The sequence below is a fragment of the Homo sapiens genome, chromosome 4 (genome assembly GCF_000001405.40).
Source record: "Homo sapiens chromosome 4, GRCh38.p14 Primary Assembly".
NCBI lineage: Eukaryota > Metazoa > Chordata > Mammalia > Primates > Hominidae > Homo > Homo sapiens.
In genome coordinates this window covers 31,939,766-31,960,841 of record NC_000004.12, presented here as the reverse complement: position 1 = coordinate 31,960,841, position 21,076 = coordinate 31,939,766, and positions in this window count along the sequence as shown.

Below are 21,076 nucleotides of genomic sequence, written 5' to 3'. Positions count from 1 at the left end.
AAATATTTTTTTTAATATTTTTTAAGCTTTTTGTCTCAGTCTTAATTTCTGACAATAGAAAAATATTTGGATCTGGCCAGGTGTGGTGGCTCATACCTGTAAACCCAGCACTTTGGGAGGCCAATGTGTGTAGATCACTTGAGGCCAGGAATTTGAGACCACCTGGCCAAAATCATGGTGAAACCCTGTCTCTACTAAAAATACAAAAATTAGACTGGCATGGTGGCACATGCTTGTACTCCTAGCTACTCGGGACACTCGATCTCGGCTCACTGCAACCTCCACCTCCCAGGTTCAAGCATGAGAAGGAAGGAAGGAAGGGAAGGAAGGGAAGGAAGGAAAGGAAGGGAAGGAAGGGAAGGAAGATGTTTGGATTTAAGAAGAGGTAGATATCCAATAGGTTAAAAAATAATGAGTGAGATCAGAAAGAGAATGATAATTGCTTGAACCTGGGAGGTGGAGGTTGCAGTGAGCTGAGATTGTGCCACTGCACTCCAGCCTGGGTGACAGAATAAAACTGTCTTGAAGAGAGAGAGAGAGAGAGAGAGAAAGAAAGGAAAGAGAGAAAGAGAAAGGAGGAAGGAAGGAAGGAAAGAGGGAAGGAAGGAAGTGGGGAAGGAAGGAGGGAAGGAAGGGAAAAAAGAAGGAAAGAAGGAAAGAAGAGAAAGAAGGAAGGAAGTAAAGAAAGAGAAGGAAAGAAAGATGAGAAAGAAAGAAGAGAAAGAAGAAAGAAGGAAAGAAAGAGGGAGGGAGGAAGGGAAGGAAAGAAGGCAGGAAGGAAGGAAGGAAGGAAGGAAGGAAGGAAAGAAGATAGATGTTTGGATCTAAGAAGAGGTGGATATCCAATAGGCTAAAAAATAATGAGTGAGATCAGAAAGAGGATGAAATTGTTATCTACTTACATTTTTTGTAACATTTCCTTATGGAGGACTGAATATATAAATGGACAATTGTTAGGCTACATATGAAAATGGAAACCCAAGCCACATCTGCTGCAATTGGGCCAGAACAGTCAGGAGTTGGTCAATAACTGTCAACTTTTATAATTTTTGTCACTTCCTCTCTACCTCTCATCTAGCTCAGGACTAACCAGAGAAAGCCAAATATGTTCTCCAAACCAGTAATGTGGGGAGCTTCATTTCTTGCTAGTCCACTTCCATCTTCCCCAAGTGAACACCCTCCATTCAGAGCCTACCTAAAGCCTTCCCTTTATTTCACTGGAAATCTTTTCTACTCCCCTGCTTGTCTTGAATTTCTGCCAAATGTAAGTGATGGTGGGTAACTCCGTTGATATAGCAAGCTCCGAAAAAATTGTCTGCATTTGTTTGTATTTGGTTTGTCTATGTTTATTTCTACATCTAAAGTCCTCACAAATTTATATTCCTTTGTAATTGACTATAATCCATTGTCCGATTACAACTGTGATATTATTGTTCTTATAACTTCGTGTTGAACTCAGTGCTAGAGTCACTTCATAATTAGTATTCTTTTAATTGAAGCTTCAAGTAAGCATATTAATAATCTACCTCCTTTAGAGTTCTTCACTGTATTTTATCTTGAGAAATGTTATGGTTGGTTGCCTTTCTTCCACGATTACAGATTATGTATGTCTGACTAGATGGAGTCACTAGGGTGGCTTGTGAGAAGTAATCATTCTACCCAGATTCAAATCATTTCTCTTCACTTGCCTGGACCTCCGTTTATAACCTACTAAAGAAGAATATCAGCCTATATTTTATATATATATATATATATATATATATATATATATATATATGTTTTTTCTTTTTACAATATTAAAACTTATATTTTAGACAAATATCTATTTGCTTCACTCACATTTTTCACTTAAATATCCTAAATATCTCTCCCCAAAAATAGGAGATCTCAATGAAATTTTTATATCCCTAAAAGTGACTTAAAACCCCTCATGTATAAAAAAATTCAAAATTGTCACTATTTATTAAAAGAGACTCCAATTTTTCCTACCAATGAATCACTCCTTTAATCCTTGTCCACAGGCTAGGCATAGTGGTTCACGTCTGTAATCCCAGCACTTTGGGAGTCTAAAGCAGGAAGATTGCTTGAGGCCAGCTTGGGCAGCATAGCAAGACTTCAGCTCTACTAAAAATTAAGAAAATTAACCAGGCATGATGGTGCAGGCCTGTAGTCCAAGCCACTTCAGAGGCTCAGGCATAAGGATCCTTTGAGTGACGGAGTGAGACCATGTCTCAAAAAAACAAAAACTATTGCCCACACTCTCACTAATGCTATCATCCCAAAACACCAATGTCATCTAATATTTTACCTAATTTAAACCTTTATAAAATCATGATTTGTGGAGGAAAATTCCAACATTTTTTATTATGATAATTATTCATTAAGGTAACTACCAGTACAGAAACTCCTTAAGTATAGAAATTTCACTGTACTCTTCAGTGAATTCATAGGCCCTACCACAGAATGAAAAATTTGGTAAGCATTCAAAAATGTAAGTAATAACAGAATGGAAGATAAATTTAACTCTGGGTTTTAACAGGAATTGAAAATTGTGTTAGTAATTTTTTTGCATTGATATAAAGGAAGAACTGAGACTGGATAATTTATGAAGGAAAATGGTTTAATAGATTCCCAGTTCTGCTGCTGCACAGGAAACACAGTGGTGGCTTCTGCGTGGCTTCTGGTGAGGGCTTCAGGAAGCTTTTACTCAAGGCAGAAGGCAAATGGGGAGCAGGCATATCACAGGGAGCAGGCATATCACATGGCAAGAGCAGGAGCATGAGACAGAGGAGGAAGAGGCCATATCCATTTAAACTACCAGGTCTCCTGTGAACTCAGAGCAAGAACTCACTCATCACCAAGGGGATGACACTAAGCTATGCGTGAGGGATCTGTCCTCATAATCCAATACCTCACACCAGGCCCCTCTTCAACACTGGGGATTACATTTCAACATAATACTTGGAGGGGACAATCACCTAAACCATATCAAAAGTTGCACTACAATTGGTGAGATATGGTTTGACTGTGTCCCCGCCCAAATCTCGCCTTGAATTGTAATAACCCCCATGGGAAAAGGTCAAGGCCAGGTAGAGATAGTTGAATCATGGGGGCAGCTCCCTCCATACTGTTCTTATGGTAGTGAGTAAGTCTCATGAGATCTGATGGTTTTATAAAGCAGACTTCTCCTGCATATGCTCTCTTGCCTGCCACCATGTAAGATGTCCCTTTGCCCTTCCTTCATCTTCTGCCATGATTGCAAGGCCTCCCCAGCTATGTGGAACTGTAAGTCCATGACACCTCTTTCCTTTATCAATTACCCAGTCTCAAGTATGTCTTTATTAGCAACATGAAAAGGGACTAATACATAGTGACATTGGATAAATTTCTCCCACTAATGGTCTTCTTAAGTGCAAATTTATCACCTACATAGTGACAAAATTTTAAAGAATTCTTCGGAAAAAGAAATACAAGTTGACAATAAAGTCCCATTAATATTTTGATCTGCAAAGAAAGCTGGAGGTTGTCCTTGGTCTTATCAGTTCGCTCCATGATATTAACAATCCCCTGACATCTATAATTAATATTCAGCTCATTAGCATTTTGAAATATTATTTTGTGAACATTCTTCCCAAAAGTATGGTATATTTGTTTTCTTTAACAGGTTTCAGCAAATAAAGTATTGTTTATACTAGAAAAAAATCATACAATTAATTATTTGCCTAATTATTCATAATGTTGCTCTAATAGATCATGCAGCTAAATAATGTCTTAGGAGTAAGATACTTTTAGGTTAAACTTTCCAACACATTTGCATACTTTTCAGTGATAAAATTAAAGCAATCAATGATGAGAAAATGTTTTTGAAAAAAGCATATAAAATACAAAATAAGTCAGATGTAACCCCAAAATATGGAAAATACAGAAACAAATAATAATTGTGATATTTTAATATTCTAAAACAAATAAAATATAATGGATTCTAAGTTAAATCTATATTTAAAACATGTTTTAAACATGAAAAAATAAAGCCAATATATTAAGATTTGCTATATGCTTAAACACAGTTGATCACCTGAAATTTTTTCTAATTGTGTAACTATTTATTTTTCCAAAAATGTGATACTGTTTTTAATTGCCTAATGAATAATTAAATGAAATTGTTTATAATATTGAAAAGAATTTTTAAATTTTTTTGAGTTTCTGATCTCAGTATTACAGTTAAGTAGAAATTATGCTGTTAGGTTATTATGTATAGGTAATGTGTGATAATTAAATTCTTTTTTGAGAAAACTTATTTTTGTATGAGTCTCCCAGCATCTATCAATGATGTAATATCAAGTTAAAAGGGAAAAGAGAAGTGCTGCTTCACTTTTGAGAAAGAAGCTACAACTTCCTTCTCTCTTGCACTAAATACTTGTCCCCTGAAAGTGTTATTGACACTTACTTATACTTATCTGTACCTCAATTTCCTGAATTATAAAATGGGATTTTAGAACTAAAATATTGAATATACTAATATTAAAAGGCTCAAAATAATTTTTCTTATTTTTCTTGCCTTAGAGTTTATATTAAGACTGTTGATTTGATTCTGTTAGTGTTTTTTTTCCAATTCTGAAAATATGACACTTCTTCAAGAATTGCGTGTGTGTGTGTGTGTGTGTGTGTGTGTGTGTGTATGTGTTTGTTGGTTTTCTTCTCCATGGGGACAGGTATTATTCTTCTATTATTGTTAATATGTAACCAAATTAAACTTATGTAATAAATAAAATCTTCACACTAATAAACATTAATGCAATTAATCAAAATTTTTAAAAATCTGTATTTGCAGTTACTTAATCTACTTTCGTTTCATAATTAAAATATTCATTTTCACTTATTCATTCTCATTAATTTACTATGAGAATACCTTCTGTTAATTGAAAATATATCTGCATCTCAGTGTTTTTGTCCTTTCCCTTATGTCTTATGTCATGGTTGATATATAAGATATATATAAGACACATAGTAAAATACATATAAGGGAAAGTTTTTCACACACAATGTAACATATAAGATACAAGAAACAGAAATGATAAAACCTATGTGAACTGCTTGATTTCCCAAGTGACTCTGCCACTGATTAGTATATATGCATTTGTAGACAGACCGTAAATTTGGAAGAGTTAGCTTTTTTAAAAAAAATCCTATCTTTTGGCACACCAGCAAGAACAGGTGTCACAAAATGTACAGAGACATGTGGAGTCAATGTGGCAAAGCTGTCAGAAAAGATAGACTTCCCTGTGCTCTTCCAACTTCACAGATGTTGTAAGGAAAATTCTGCAAGATGCCTTGCTTAAACTTCATATTACCTAGCTCCTCAGGCTGCTGCCAGTGCTGCCAAGGGTCCTACCAATCCTTGAGTAGGCCGTATGCCATGGAAACAGATGGGCAAAATTACAAGGCACTACAATATAAGTCCTGAAGATGAAATATATGTTTCTAAAGATTGTCATCTCAGGTGGGAACATTGAAATGACTGCTATGTGTAGAGCAGGTATTTTTATCAGTGGCAAATTCAAGTTAGTTTTAAAGGAAAACAAAACTAAAAAAAAAATTGTAAAACCACTTCTATATTATATAACCTGATTGCTCCTAGTTACTCTATTTCTCAGAGTACTAACAGCATGCATTTTTCTTCCATATTTCTAATTCATTATTTTCCTAAAGAACTCACTATTGCTTATTAAAAGCAATAGTGTTCCTTCTTTCTTTCTTTGCTTCTTCACACCTACATTCTTCACACGTCTCCTTACACACTTATACTTCTTATTCAATCTTGCTCCATTTGACTTCATAAAGCGTAACAACAACAGTAACCGCTTTCTACACAAACAACATTGATTTTTCTGTCTAGTCTATAGTCTAGTCTGTAACACATAAGTAAACTCTTTTTACAATTTAACTCTAATAGGTAGGGACAGCTCCTGTACCATAGGAGTTAGTAAGCTCTCGGCATAATGTGATTTCTTTACCCATCTACCCTGGGAGTTTTCTTCTTTACTATTTTGTTGTTATTGTTGCTCTTGAAGTCTTTCTCATTCTTTAGGTCCAACTGAAGTGCCATTTTTCTTGGGCAAATTAACACAACTTTTTTTTTTTCTGTATTCTCACTGTATTTTTTTTTTTTTTTAGAATTCAACAATAATTCTTATTTCATTCTTCCTTGTGTTATAAGTATTTTTGGTACTTCCCTTTCTCTGTAGTCAAAATATAATCATACTTTGCAGGGACATTGTTTGGCTTAACTTTATATTCCTCTTATTATAAGGAAGATTTTGGGTATGTAGTAGAGACTTATTGAATGTTTTCTTACCAAACATTATTTGAATAAAGCATATTTAAATGGACAATAATGTTTTAATTATTCCATGTGAGAAATCTCATAAGATTTCTAACCATGAGCTTTGAGGATATTAAAGATCTCTAAAAATTTTATAAGCACATTTATCAATTTGAATTAGCATTCAATTGATTTAGGGCTAAAAGTCCATCAAATATAACCATAAAGGCAAAGATGTTAGGGTGACTATTAAGTATTTGCTTTATTTTTGGCATAGAATTAAAAACATTCAAATTGTGAAAAAGGAAGATATCTATGAAATATAAAGTAATAAGAAGTAGCTTAATATTCCCTGGCAAGCATAGCACGTCAGACAAAAGAAATAAAAATAAAATGTTTATTACATAAAACTAATGAACTCACTAAAATGTTAAGCTAATCTCTATATAGTTGCAGCTGGAAACTTTTCAAATTTGAAGAACAAAAATATATTCTATTTATTGCTTTTATGTATGTTTTTTGTATATTATTTCATGAATTTTGACTATGAGCAAAATGTAGAAATTATTTTTCCATGGTAAAGTTGAAGAAATAGCATCAGTTAAGAGTTGATTTTTTTTCCACAGGTATATCTAATTCTCAAGTTTAAGCATCATTGATTGCTACGTCTGCACAAAATATAGCCCCCAATCTACAATCTAGTTTTAATAAATTCCAGCAGAACTTTTCCTGCAATATTTTAAGGCTGTGTTTTCACTATGCCTCCACCTCTCCTTTATTAGTGAGACAACAAATTATTTTATTTCGAGTCTCAAAATATACAGAAGTAATAACCTCACTCAAAACATTTGGACTCTATTAAAATAATTAGCTTTATAATTTTAAAATAAGTAAATAAAAATATGTAGCAGTACCTAAATACATTGCATATTTGAAAATATTGTGAAATTCTAAGTAAGTTGCCAAACCTTTGATATTCTTGGGAGAGTCCTACAAACTCATGTGACCTTTTGCTGATCTATAACACTTATGTCAAAACCATTCTTAATGTTGTAATTTCAAATAGAATGTTCAAAACTTGGATTTAGATTCCAGATCTTTGTTGGCATACAATGACACTTCCTTCAAAACAGTCAAAATTAATTAAATGCTTATTAGTTACAATAGGTAGGAAGAAATAAGACAGCTAGTTGCCCATATGACTGTATAGTTAACTAATGTGGAATAGCATCAAACAGATTGATCAGAGAAAAAATAAGTACTAGAAGAATATACTAAGAAATAAGTTATAAAATGCGAGTGATATAGAAAGCAGGAGATATGATTCTTATTGCATGCATAGGAATAGGGTATAAGAACAGGAATAGGAAAAAGGATAGAAGATATGATTCTTATTCTATAGCAGTAAATATGATTCCTATTGGTGGCAACAAACAGCTTATTTAAACAAGGACATCAAATAATCATTGTGAAAATGTGTGTAATTTTCCCTCTTAAATTATGGGTATTTCAAAAAATTATATATAAATTTCAAAAAAATGTCAGATTGGCAGAGAAGCAACATCCTAAAAAGTGAAAACTACAGCACTTTAAAGTTGTGTATAAACAAATGAAACAATGAATGAAAACAAGTTTTAGTAGCTTCCAATTATTTATTGATTATGATGGGGCAAGCTATGTATCAAAGACATTATATACTTTCATAGGTTGAATTCTGTAACTAATCTGTAGGATAAGTGTCAGACACATACTTTCACATATACATTTTATAAATAAAGATACAGACTCAGTTTAAGTAGCATGCTCAGGAAAATATGGGTAGTAAATTGGAGCTTCAAAATTTTAACTCAGATTTACTGATTTCAAAGCCTTTCATTATAAATCTAAGAGGCAGATGCACAGAAATATGTTTGTCTGCAAAGAGTTATGCATTTTTATGACTGTATTTAAAGAAGTAATACATTGCCAAAGACATAAAGGTTGTATACCTAATGTGTTGTGATTCATTGTATATTTAATCTATTTGTAACAGTCCTTGGTGCACAGTAAAAACTCAAAAAATATTATTTTAATTTTTATTATTGATACAATGCTGAACAATTGAAAATACAAGATTTTAAAAAAGGAAAATTTTATTCAAGTCATATACTTGTAAAAAGGTAGATAACTGAGGTCTAACACTAAATCTATTTTAGTTTCTTAATTATTCAATTTAGTGGGGTAGATGACCAAAATGAAGCAAATAGTGACCATGTAGTAACTATTTTCAGGAATGTTTATACACAGCTTATTTCTTTATAGCAACGGTGAACCAATTTAAATTAGCATCACCTCTACCTAGCACTACAGAAAATTGACTGATACAAGAGTGTTGGAGGTGTCAAAGCATAGATTGCATGATAACACACAGCAGGCAAACCTAGTCTTTCGCCTGAATATGATATGCTTATCCAAGTTGTAGTGGTGATTGCACAAATCTATGACTTACAATAATTTCCTTGCATTTAATCTATTCAATATTTAACGTATAAAAATTGTATAGATGGATTATATTGAGTATATCATATTTTTATTCTAATATGTGTAAAACATAGGTATTTCCACTAGAAAAAAAGTGTTATCTATTTTATCAAAATATAATATTAAGCTTATTAAATTATATTATAATCTTTATTATAGGATTTAGCCAGACTATAAGAGGATTGCTGCTCTTCCTTGACTATAAAACCAAGTACAAACATAAAGAATCAAAGTTAAAAAGAGGGCTGTTAGAATTCCTTTGAAGAATGTAAAAAGACTCAATTTTTGCTACCATGGCGGTGGAGTGAAATTGGAGATTATCCACTATGGGAGTAGCGAGGTTTTAAGGTGAGGCATTCAAAAAGCTCTTCTTTGAATACATTTGTTGTGCTTTTGATCTTTTCTGGGGAATAAAAAAAAAAAAGAGAAAAAAAATCACATGTTATGCCGAATATGACAAGAGCTTTAGACATAACTGGAATTGCACTGCATTAAATCTATTGCATTAAAAGATATAAATATTGCACAAGTGATGGTTTGGAAGTAGCTGAATGGTAGTCAAGTGTAAAATGTACTATCTATTTTTTTGCACAATTTCTCAAATGACATGAGCAGTACAGAATTCAGTGCAGTGGTTGTAACCAATTTTATGAAATTTATTGACAATTGAAATAGTCTTATAGCAAGATATATTCTGACAGCTGTTCTCTGATATGGTCTGCTTTCTAGACAGCAGTCAAATGACAGTTTTGTTGTTTTTTTTTTTACTATTGCTGTTATGTTTTCTGTAGTTGCAACATAGCATATTTAGATATTCTGTTGTCAATACTGAAAATAAAAATACATAATGAGACCACCTACTTCTTCATTTTACAATCTGTTAACAATGGAGATAAATTTATAATACTTTTGGCAAATCTGTGTTGAAATCTCTCTCTAACATGCAATAAGGAAATAAATACTTCAAAGGATAAATGGGGTTCACCGTAAGCTTGAAAATCAAGAAAGTTACATGTATCTAAATTGCCATCCAACTAAACAGGCTATTTCAATTAAATAATAATTGCATTTGAAAAGAGCAGTTTCAGTTCTTTTTATAAGGATTCATGAGCATTCAAGGAAGATGAGTCTTCTTGGTTCTCATAGGAATGACCTTTCCACATGAATCAACTCTCTTTTTAATATTCCCAAAAAACTTCTTTTCCTTCCATGTGAAAAAAGGAAAATTGTAATAACTTTAGATATCTTGACAAACACTTTCTTAAACACTGCCTGACAGGTACATTGATGATTTCTGGAAAAAGATTAAAATGAAAACCCATTAGTGGGAAAAGGAGAGAAACTGAATTATCGATGTCCAGGCAGAAAGATCATCTGTTGAGATAAAGTCAACACGGAAAACATGCTTAAGGAACACCAGGATTTTCCAGCCCAAAACCCTCATTTAGGCCAATGTTACTCCTGAACTGGAAAAAGAAAGCATGTGTTTCACCTTGCTAGTAAGCTGAGATTTGTATTCGAATTGTTGTGACCGTATGCTTATAAGACAAAACATGTGCATATGTGAGGCTGTGTCGGCATTTGGCGGAAAAGTGAAAAATTCGTCAGGAATTTGTCTTATTTATATAATTTCTATCAGACATCCAGCTAGTATAAAAATAAAGAGACCTTTTTTTCAATTACCTTTTTACAATAGCGATATGTGGGATTATGGGATGACTCTTGTTGGCCACTGTTCTGGTAATAAGTTTCAATCAGGCTTTGACCAGTCACTTACAGTTGAGATTTGACTTTGCCACTACTAAGACCTGTACCTAGTGCTTCTCAATTCCCATACCATGGCTTCTCTAACACTGTGGTGTGTGTTACATCTGCAGGAATTCTTTCACATTCTAGCACAAGCAGCATACAAGTGCAGCAGAGTTAACACCTGAGGAACCAACCTTGACCAATGGGAGAAAGAAGTCAAGGGATACATTCTTTCACTTATTGTCTCCTGGGAAAATAGTTTTGAGATGCATAATGCTTCTCTGACCTACCTGTGAGATTGGGCACTAGGCACCTGCAGTGGTGGCCAACTCAATAACTATGTTCATAAAGTGGTTTCCTTTCCTTTTATTTAAACTACTGGTCTCCTAACCTTTTTACTAGAACCTGCTAGTCTTTGTCTTTGGAGAACCCAAGGTAAGTTAGTGGATGCATCTTGTTAGAGTAAGTGATATAATGTTTTTCTAGGTAATGACTTTTTCTTAACTGTCTATCTGGTAGTTCCTCTATATCTGAAAATCTATGAATATTAGTCAATTTTGTGTTTTTGTTTGTTTTTAATAGTTATACCATCAGCCTTCCTTATATGCAATTTTCACATCTGCAAATTCAACCCATCTTGGATTGGAAAGATACAAAGCAATAATAAAAATGAATATCTATTAGAAATATAACAACTATTTACACATAATTTATATTAGATTAGATAATATGCATAATCTAGAGAAGATTTAAAAGTACACAGTAGAATGTACATAGGTTATATAAAAACACACCATTTTATATCAAGACATGTTATCCTCTAGGGGGACGGGGACACCCTGGAGCCGATCCCCCTATGGATACTTAGGGCCACTGTACCACATTAAATTGAGCCATCCTAAAATACTTTTATTCCTTGCCATTGTCTATGCAATAAAGTCCAAATTCTTTAACCTGACTCATGAAACATTCAGGATCCCCGGAATGCATTTCTGGCGTTCTTTCCTGTCACCAGCCACCAGCAACCACCCCTTCAACAAACACACACATTAACACAAAAGGCAGACACTCATATACAAACGCACAAAGTCTACACTTTAACAAAACCAAAATAACATTACTCACTGTTCTCACAGCCCATTATGCATTTCCATGTTTCTTGGCCTTTCTGTATCTTATTTGATTCTATAATGAATGATCCCCTATTTGACATCAAATACATCTACTATTTATTTTGAATATCTAACACGGAATCTTTTTATCTCTCAAATAAATTTATATGATTGTCAATGAACTTATAAAAACTTTTTCTATGTGGCCTATACAAACAATGAAATAGAAATCCTATCATTTGCAGCAGCATGGGTGAAACTGGAGGTCATTATGTTAAATGAAATAAGCTAAACACAAAAAGAAAAATATTACATATTTTCACTCATATATAGGGGCTAAAATACTGTAGCTTATGAAAATATAGAGTGGATTGGTTACCAAGGCTGGGAAGGGTAGGGCAGATGGGAAATGAAAAGAGGTTGATTAATGGGGACCAACAAACAATTTGATAGAAGAAATAAGACATGGTGTTTGATAGATCAGTAGGGTAAATATAGTTCACAATAAACTGTTATAAATTTCAAAATGCTAGAAGAGAATTATTGCCAATGTTCCTAGCATAAAGGAAAGACAGATATTTAAGGTGACAGACATCTCAATTAAACTGATTTGATCTTTAAACAGATATGGATGTATTAAATTATCATATGTACCCCAAAATATGTACATCTGATATAAATAGGCTTTGTGTCTCCACCCAAATCTTATCTTGAATTGTAATCCTCAGGTGTTGAGGGAAAGACCTCATGGGAGGTGACTGAATCATCGGGGTGGTCTTCCCCCGTAATGTTCTCATAATAGTAAGTGAGCTCTTTCAAGATCTGATGGTTTTATAAGGGGCTCTTTCCTCTTCATTTTCTCTCTTGCATGCCACTAAGTAAGATGTGCTTGCTTCCCCTTCAGCCCTGATTGTAAGTTTCCTGCGGATCCTAGACATGCAGAACTGTAAGTCAATTAAACCTTTTTCCTTTATAAATTACCCAATCTCAGGAAGTTCTTTACAGCAGTGTCAAAATAGACTAATACAACATTTATTATAAATCAAACATTTTTTTTAAAGTTTTCATGTGCTGACTGTATAATTCAATATTTAAATAAGTGCTTATTTTAGTGTATTGCATATTAAACTGAGGACAGGGCTTTGTTCTGTTTATAGTTCTATCTCCAATGTGTCAGAGAAGATGGGTTATAAATATTTGAGAATAAATTAATAATTGAATTATGATAGAATTTAGACCTCTCCTAAATATCTAATTTCTCTGTAGAGTTCTTCATACTGATAACATTGGTTGAACTCTTATTAAATAAATGAAAGAGCATATCTCCATATTATGGCTCAGCAAAATAAGTTTGTTTTACATGCTTTAATTTCAAAGTTTTCAGGTTACTTCTATCATATTATAAACTCTTTTATAATATGCCTATTACATGTAAGGCACTGAGACAAGCACTTGGGAACAAAGAAATAAACATAGTGCTTCTTTTCTTAAACAGTTATTTAGAAAAATAATTGTTTTCTTGCACTCTAATTTCAGTCTAAGTGAGGAAACCAGAAATTAACATCTGAATAGGTGTGTTAGGACTTTTTTACTTTACCAAAAAAAAAATAATAACAAAAACTGGGTAATTTATAAAGAAAAGTGAGTTAATTGACTCATGGTCCTGCAGGCTGTAGAGGAGGCATGGTACTGGCATCTACTGGGCTTCTGGGTAAACCTCAGGGAAGCAGAAGCAGGCATGTCACATGGTGAGAGCAGGAGCAAAGAGGGGTGGTGTCACATGGTGAGAGCAGGAGCAAAGAGGGGTGGTGTCACACACTTTTAAACAACCAGATCTCTCAATGACTCACCCTCTATCATAAGGACAGTGCTAAGCCGTGACATATCCACCCCCATCACCCAAGAACCTCCCACCAGGCCACACCTCCAACACTGGGAATTACATCTCAACCTGAGATTTGGAGAAGACATTCAAACTGTATCATTCTATTTCTGGCCCAAAAAAATCTCATGTCCTTCTCACATTGCAAAATACAATCATGCCTTTCCAAAGTTCCCTAAAGTCTCAACTGATTCCAGAATTAACTCAGAAGTCCCAAGTTCAAAGTCTCATCTGGTGATGAGTTCCATTCATCTATGATTGTGTAAAATTATAACAAGTTATTTACTTCTAAGATACTATTGGAGTATAGATACTGGATAGACACTGCCATTAAAAAAGGGAAAAGTTAGCCAAAAGAAGAGATCTAGAGGCCCCACGTGAGTCTGAAACCCAGCAAGGCAGTCATTAAATCTTAAAGCTCCAAAATGATTTCCTTTGACACCATGTCCTACATCTAGGGCACGCTTGTGCAAGGGATGGGCTCCCAAGGCCTTGGACAGCACCACCCCTGTGGCTTTGCAGGGTTCAGCCCCACCCCTGTGGCTTTGCAGCGTTCAGCCCCACCCCTGTGGCTTTGCAGGGTTCAGCTCCCCTGGCTGCTCTCGAGAGATGACATTGAGTGCCTGTGGCTTTTTCCAGATGACAGGTGCAAGCTATCACTGGATCTGCAATTCTGAGGTCTGGAAGATGGTGGCTTCTTTCCTACAGCTCCACTAGGCAGTGCACTGGTGGGGACTTTATGTGGAGTCTCCAACTGCACATTTCCCCTCTACACTGCCTAGCAGAAGTTCTCTGTGAGGTCTCCGCCCCTGCAGCAGACCTCTGCCTGGGCACCCAGGCTTTCTCGTATATCCTCTGAAATCCTGACAGAGGCTGCCGAGTCTCTTTCATATTTGCACTCTGTGCACTTACAGGCTAACACTACATGGAAGCTGCCAAAGCTTGTAGCTTGCACACTTTTAAGGGGTGGCCAGAGTTATATCTGAAGCCCTCTGAACCAAGGCTGGAACTGGAATGGCTGTCATGTGAGGAGCACTCTCCTGGGATGGTGCAGAGCAGTGGCATCCCAACACTGGCCCATGAAGCCATTCTTTTCTTGTAGGCGTCTGGGCCTGTGATGGGAGGGTTTCCTCAAAGATCTCTGAAATACCTTCAAGGCCTTTTTTTCCATTGCCTTGGCTATTGGCATGTGGCTCCCTCCTAGTCACGCAAATCACTCTACCAAGTGGTTGCTCCACAGCTCACTTGTATTCCTCTCCTGGTAATGTTTTTTCTTTCTTTGCCACATAGGCTACAGATTTTCTAAACTTTAATTCCGTGATTCCATTTTAATTATAAATTCCAACTTTAAGTTATTTATTTGCTCCCACATCTGAGTGCAACCAGGCCACCTCTTAAATGCTTTGCTGTTTAGAACTTTCTTTTCCATATGCCCTAAGTCATCATTTCTAAGTTCACACTTTCATAGATACCTAGGGCATGAACACAACACAGCAAAGTTTTTTTTTGCTAAGGCATAACCAGAGTGACCTTTGCGCCAGTTGCCAGTAAGTTTCTCATTTCCATCTGAGACCTCATCAACCTGGACTTCTATATTAGCCCATTTTCACACTGCTATGAAGGCATTCCCAAGACTGGGTAATTTATAAAGAAATGAAATTTAATTCACTCAGTTCTGCATGGCTGGGGAAGCCTCAGGAAACTTACAATCATGGCGAAAGGAAAAGAGGCACATCTTACATGGTGACAGGAGAGAGAGAGAGAGAGAGCAAATGAGTGAAGGAGGAAAAGCCCCTTATAAAATCGTCAGATCTCATAAGAACTCACTCATTATCACAAGAACGGCATGACAGAAACTGCCCCCATGATCCAATCACCTCCCACCCGGTCCAGCCCTCAACACATGGGGATTATGGGGATTACAATTTGAAACAAGATTTGGGTGGAGACACAGAGCCAAACCATGTCAATTTCACCATCCATATCACTGTCAGCATTTTCGATAAAACTATTTAACTAGTCTCTAAGAAGTTCCAAACTTTCTCTTAGCTTCCTATTTTCTTCTAAGCCTTCCAAATTATTTCAACTTCTTTCAGTTACCTAGTTCCAAAGTTTCTTCGACATTTTCAGGTATCTTATAGCAATGCCCCACTCCTTGGTACCAATTTTTCGTGTTAGGCTATCTTACATTGCTATAAAAAATACCAGAGACGGGGTAATTTATAAAGAAAAGAGATTTAATTGTCTTATAGTTCTGCAGGCTGTATAGGAAGCATGGCACTAACATCTGCTCAGTTTCTGGGGAGGCCTCAGGGAAGCAGAAATAGGCATGTCCCCTGGCAAGAGAGGGGTCCCGGGAGGTATCACATACTTTTAAACAATCATATTTGTCAAGAACTTACCCACTATCACAAGGAAAGCATCAAACCATGAAGGATCTACCCCCATGACCCAAACACTTCCCACCACACCCCACCTCCTGAGAGAGATTATATCTCAATATGAGAGTTGGAAGGGACATCCAGACTCTATCAGTAAGTAATTTAATGACAAGTTATGATGTGTGATATAAAGATAGTGAACAGCTTGTAAAGAGAAAGATCAGCTTTAAAGAGGTGAGGGACAGCTTAATTTAATAATTGACTGTGAAGCTATATGAAGAGGAGGGGGAAGACAATTTACAGCAGAAGGGAAGGTATATAAAAAAATTCTGATGTGGCAAAAAACTGATTATCTTCAAAGAACTAATGGAAAAATGGTGTGGATAGACTTGGTGAAGCAGAGGAAGAGCTGGTAAGGCATGTATTCAGACAGGAAAGTAAGGCCAGACCAGGTTAACATAGGCTATCTTCAAAATTGGGCTCTGTTTGGGGTGCAGTGGGATGTTTTTGAAGGTTTTGAAGTACAAGTGTTACAATATGTGCTGAATACTTTATAAATAATTGGACATACTACTCTGGAGAACAGAGGGGAAGAGATTACGAGTAGAATATAAGTTAGCAGTTAGATAAATGTATCTGCAGCTAACAGAAAAGTTGCACATGAGATACAAATTTGTGAGTCAATATTTAAATTTTATTTCAAAGAAAGTAAATAGATCGGCTCACCAAGGGAGAAAATGAGAGAAAGAAATAAGGGGAAGACTATCCCAGAGAGGATTCAGCAAAGGCAAACCCAGACTGTCCAAGAGAAATTCTAAAATATTTAGTGTTCCAGAAACTATAAGATGAAAATGTTTGAAGATATTGAGGAGTATTAGCTATGTCATGTACTTTTGAGAAGTTCTAGAAAGTTTATCACCAAGTTCATTATTTGAAATTGGTAAGGGCCAGGTACAGTGTTTCACCCCTGCAATCCCAGCAGTTTAGGAAGGCCAGGAGGGCACATTGCTTGAGCCCAAGAGTTCAAAACCAGCCTGGGAAACATGGCGAATACCCATCTCTTCATAAAATACAAAAATTAACAGGACATGGTGGCATGCACCTGTAGTCCCAGCTACATGAAAGACTGAGGTGGGAGGATCTCTTGAGCTGAGGAAGTTGAGATTGCTGTGAGCCAAGATTGTGCCACTGCACTCCAGCCTGGGCAACAGAGCAAGAGTCTGTGTCAAAAAAAAAGAAAAAAGAAAGAAAGAAAAGAAAAAGAAATTGGCAAAATGTAGGCCGTTGCCAATTTTAGAAGAAAGTGATTTCTACTTACTTGGTGAGGAAAACATCAGATATGAATGACAGAATGTTAAGAATGAGTTGTATTGTATATTTATTTATTTTTTGTAGTAAGTTTGTTTGCCTACAATGAAGCAAATGCTGGGTGCTTCAGCAGTATGGCAACAAGGATATGAAAATCAGGGTGAGCCAGTCAGAGAGTCAGAGAAGACTTTTTACATAAAGCAATTGCTTAGCTCCTTTCCTAGAAATGAATAAGAGCTATTCAGCCATTGTTGACAGATGGAACAACACTGGGACAAGGTGGAAGCAAAAGGGGAAATTATAATGAATTGGGGGAGTTTTCACACAACCTTCATCCATTAAGGCATGAGAGCTTACCATTTCCTCAGAATAGTATCCAAATTCATCAATTCAGTTAAGTTCAGATTCATATTTTTCTTCATATATTCTCTTTTGAATGCATGGGAATTGGAGGGATTGAATCTCTGCAGGAGTACTAGATCCACAGGTTAATTTGCAAATAAAATTTTAGTAAGTATTCTTCTGCAAATATTTAACTATGTTTGATCTTCAATTTTTGTGGGCTTTTTAAAATTTTTAAATGTAGTTGTGTTTTCTAAAGTCAAATTAAAATACCTATTTTTGCAAGTTATAGTTTGATTTATGCCAGCTCAGTTCAATTTGCAATCTAACAATATATATATTTAAAATATGCTATTATTTAAAATACTAGAAATTAAATATCATATTCATTTTCTGTATAACTTTTTAAGGTCCTTTATTGGAGGAGAATATTATTACTTTATATGTAAGTTTCTTCTATTACTTTTCTTAAAGGATCAGTGATAATAAGATGCCCAGGTACATTAAAGAGTGAATGATGTGCTAAATTTTTAAGGGAACATTCAGGCAGGTGGTCTCTAAGAAAAATCTACACTCTTGAGAGAGGTTTTTATTGGGTATTCTGATGAACATTTTATATTGTCACTATGTCTTCAGTAACAGAATATGTTTTCTAGGAACATCTTTGGCTATAAATTCTGGAAACAGTGGGATTGATTTATCATTTTTGATCAGAACCCAATAAACTGAAAAGAGAAAGACTCATTTTCATTTCAACATTCTGGAGAATAAGGCACTGACACACAAAAGTCATACAACTATATGACCTTAGTTTGGAAAAGTAATATTAAGAAGGAATCTTGCCCCCAGTTGCATGACTTGGGATTTTTTTGTCTCTAGTCCTCAATATAATACTGAAATACACATTATTGAATTAGTTTATTGTCAATGAAAATAAGGAGCATATGAAAAATTATTGTTAAGATGATCTTGATTAATTGCTTCTCTATCCTTGTAAAGAACAATGCATAACAGCAACAAAAAATGAAAAAATAATTTTCTTATAACTATTGTGGAAACAACATTTGCATTTAAGTGAGGTCAAATTGATTATTTCCAATAAAAACTTAATAAACAATTTCTTAAATTATGATATTACACTGTGGTCTTTTTAAATTTCTTCATTTCTTTTTTTAAAAGTTACCTATTTCTATTGAATCTATATTTATTAAATCAAGTGGTGTTAATAAACAAGCAATTACTTTTCAAAACTTGACTGTTTTCAAGACCTAGAACAAAAATCGTTACTTTAACTGATAGAAATAAAGCTGAATTATTACATATTTAAGTAAATAATAGGTATAGAATATTTTTAATATAGAGATGCAGATACTGGAAGCTAGATATAGTCAAAGGGACGTGGATAAACTAGAGTCAGGGAGCTAGCTTGTTCGCTAGCAGCTTGGACCTTGGTGGTTACTACCTATTTCCCCAAGGAGCAGTGTGCAAATCATAGAAAAACATATTAGTTGGTATATATTAGTTTGCTTGGGCTTCCCTAACAGAATATTACAGACTGGGTGGCTTAAGCAAGAGCCATTTATTTTCTCCCAGTTTTGGCGGCTAAAAGTCCAAAATCAAGGTGCTGGCAGGGTTGGTTTCTGGTGAGGCCTCTCTTCCTGGCTTGCAGGCAAGCCACCTTTTCACTGTGTCCTCAAGCTGTCTGATCTTTATGAAGGTACAGAGAGAGAGAGAGCAGAGAAAGAGAATCTGCTATTTCTTCTCTTTTTATTAAAAGGACACCAGCTCTACTGAATTACATCCCCACCCTTATAACCTCATTTAACCTTAATTACCACCTCAAAGGTCTTATCTCCAAATACAGTCACTAAGAGTTCGAGCTTCAACCTCTTAATTTTAAGGTGACACAAGTGAGTTCATAACAATAGGTACAATTTTAGGGGGTCAGCATTTATTCCAGATAAGTGCCCAAGCCAATGATGTTTTCAGTCACCAATGGGCCACATTAAGTGAATAAACTGTAGATTTGAATAGTAAACTGAGAACTATTTTCACGTGCTGTTTCCAAACTCTTAAATTTATTTCCACTTGAGTAGTGCCATTTATTGAATCTTTGACAATGAATTGCAGCTTCTTAGTTAACAATAATTTTTTGGTTAATCATATTTTTCCATAAAAAGTGGATATTTGATGTGCTTAAATCTAAATCCTTATTTTAAAAAAAACTGATTTTGGCTCTGTGTTCCTTCCAATTCCATTTTCAAAGACTGTACTTATATTAATACTTATATTCACTACCGTGAAAAATATATAGGAAGCAAAATTTTTAAATGCTGTTGGGCTAGGGACAGTGGCTCATGCCTGTGATCCAATAACTTTGGAAGGCCTAGATTGAGGCATTGCTTGAGGCCAGGAGTTTGAGATCAGCCTGGGCAACATAGTGAGATGCCATTGCTACAATAAATTTTTAAAAATTAGCCCAGTATGGTGGCATGTGTCTGTAGTCTCAGCTACTCAGGAGGCTGAGGAGGGAGGAAACTTGAGCCTAGGAGTTCAAGGCTGCAGTGAGCTATGAACTCCAGCCTGGGTGACAATGTGGGACCCTGTCTCTTCAAAAGACAAAGTAAAATAAAATAAAGTAACAAATATGCCTTTTATATTATCTATTTCTTCAGACTCCATCTTCTAATAAAACACATAGAAAATGCATTGAGTACAAAGTCTTAATGAATTACCAGGTTTTTAACTAGCTGTAGCTACAAATTATTCTCTTTTCATCTTTCTAAGAATTTTAATTTTGAAGGCCTCTGGATGACTGTCTAGGTTATGTTTTTTTATTATCTATAAATTTATTATATTTATGTTTTTGACATTTCAATATTGTTGCACCAAGAAACATTCAAAATATTGGGAGAGGATATAGGAAAAAATATGAAGAAAACGGATTGTAGTAATAGAGCTGTAAAATATACAGGTATAGGAATCACAGTGAACTTTTAGAACTTGAGAAATTTTTTTACAAAGACAATGTCTTGTTAGTTGAACTTATAGAAAGGAGAGTATTTTAATAGATAAGAAAGTAGTTGACCAAAATATTCCTACTTTTTTCCACCAGGAGTAACAGAAAATATATGATATTCTGAGTTAATTAAGTTTTGTTTAAAACTGAAAACATTTATAATTTTTTAAGAGAAACCTAAAAATTCTGTTGGCATACATTTTTATATGTGATTTTTCAACAAAAATTAAATTTTGAAAGTATCACTTAAGGCTGGGCACTGGGCCTCATGCCTGTAATCCCGGTACTTTGGCAGGCTGAAGCAGGTGGATCACCTGAGGTCAGGAGTTTGAGACCAGCCTGGCCAACACGGTGAAACCCTGTCTCTCCTAATAACACAAAAATTACCCGGGCAGGGTGGTGCATGCCTGTAATCCCAGCTACTCGGGAGGCTGAGACAGG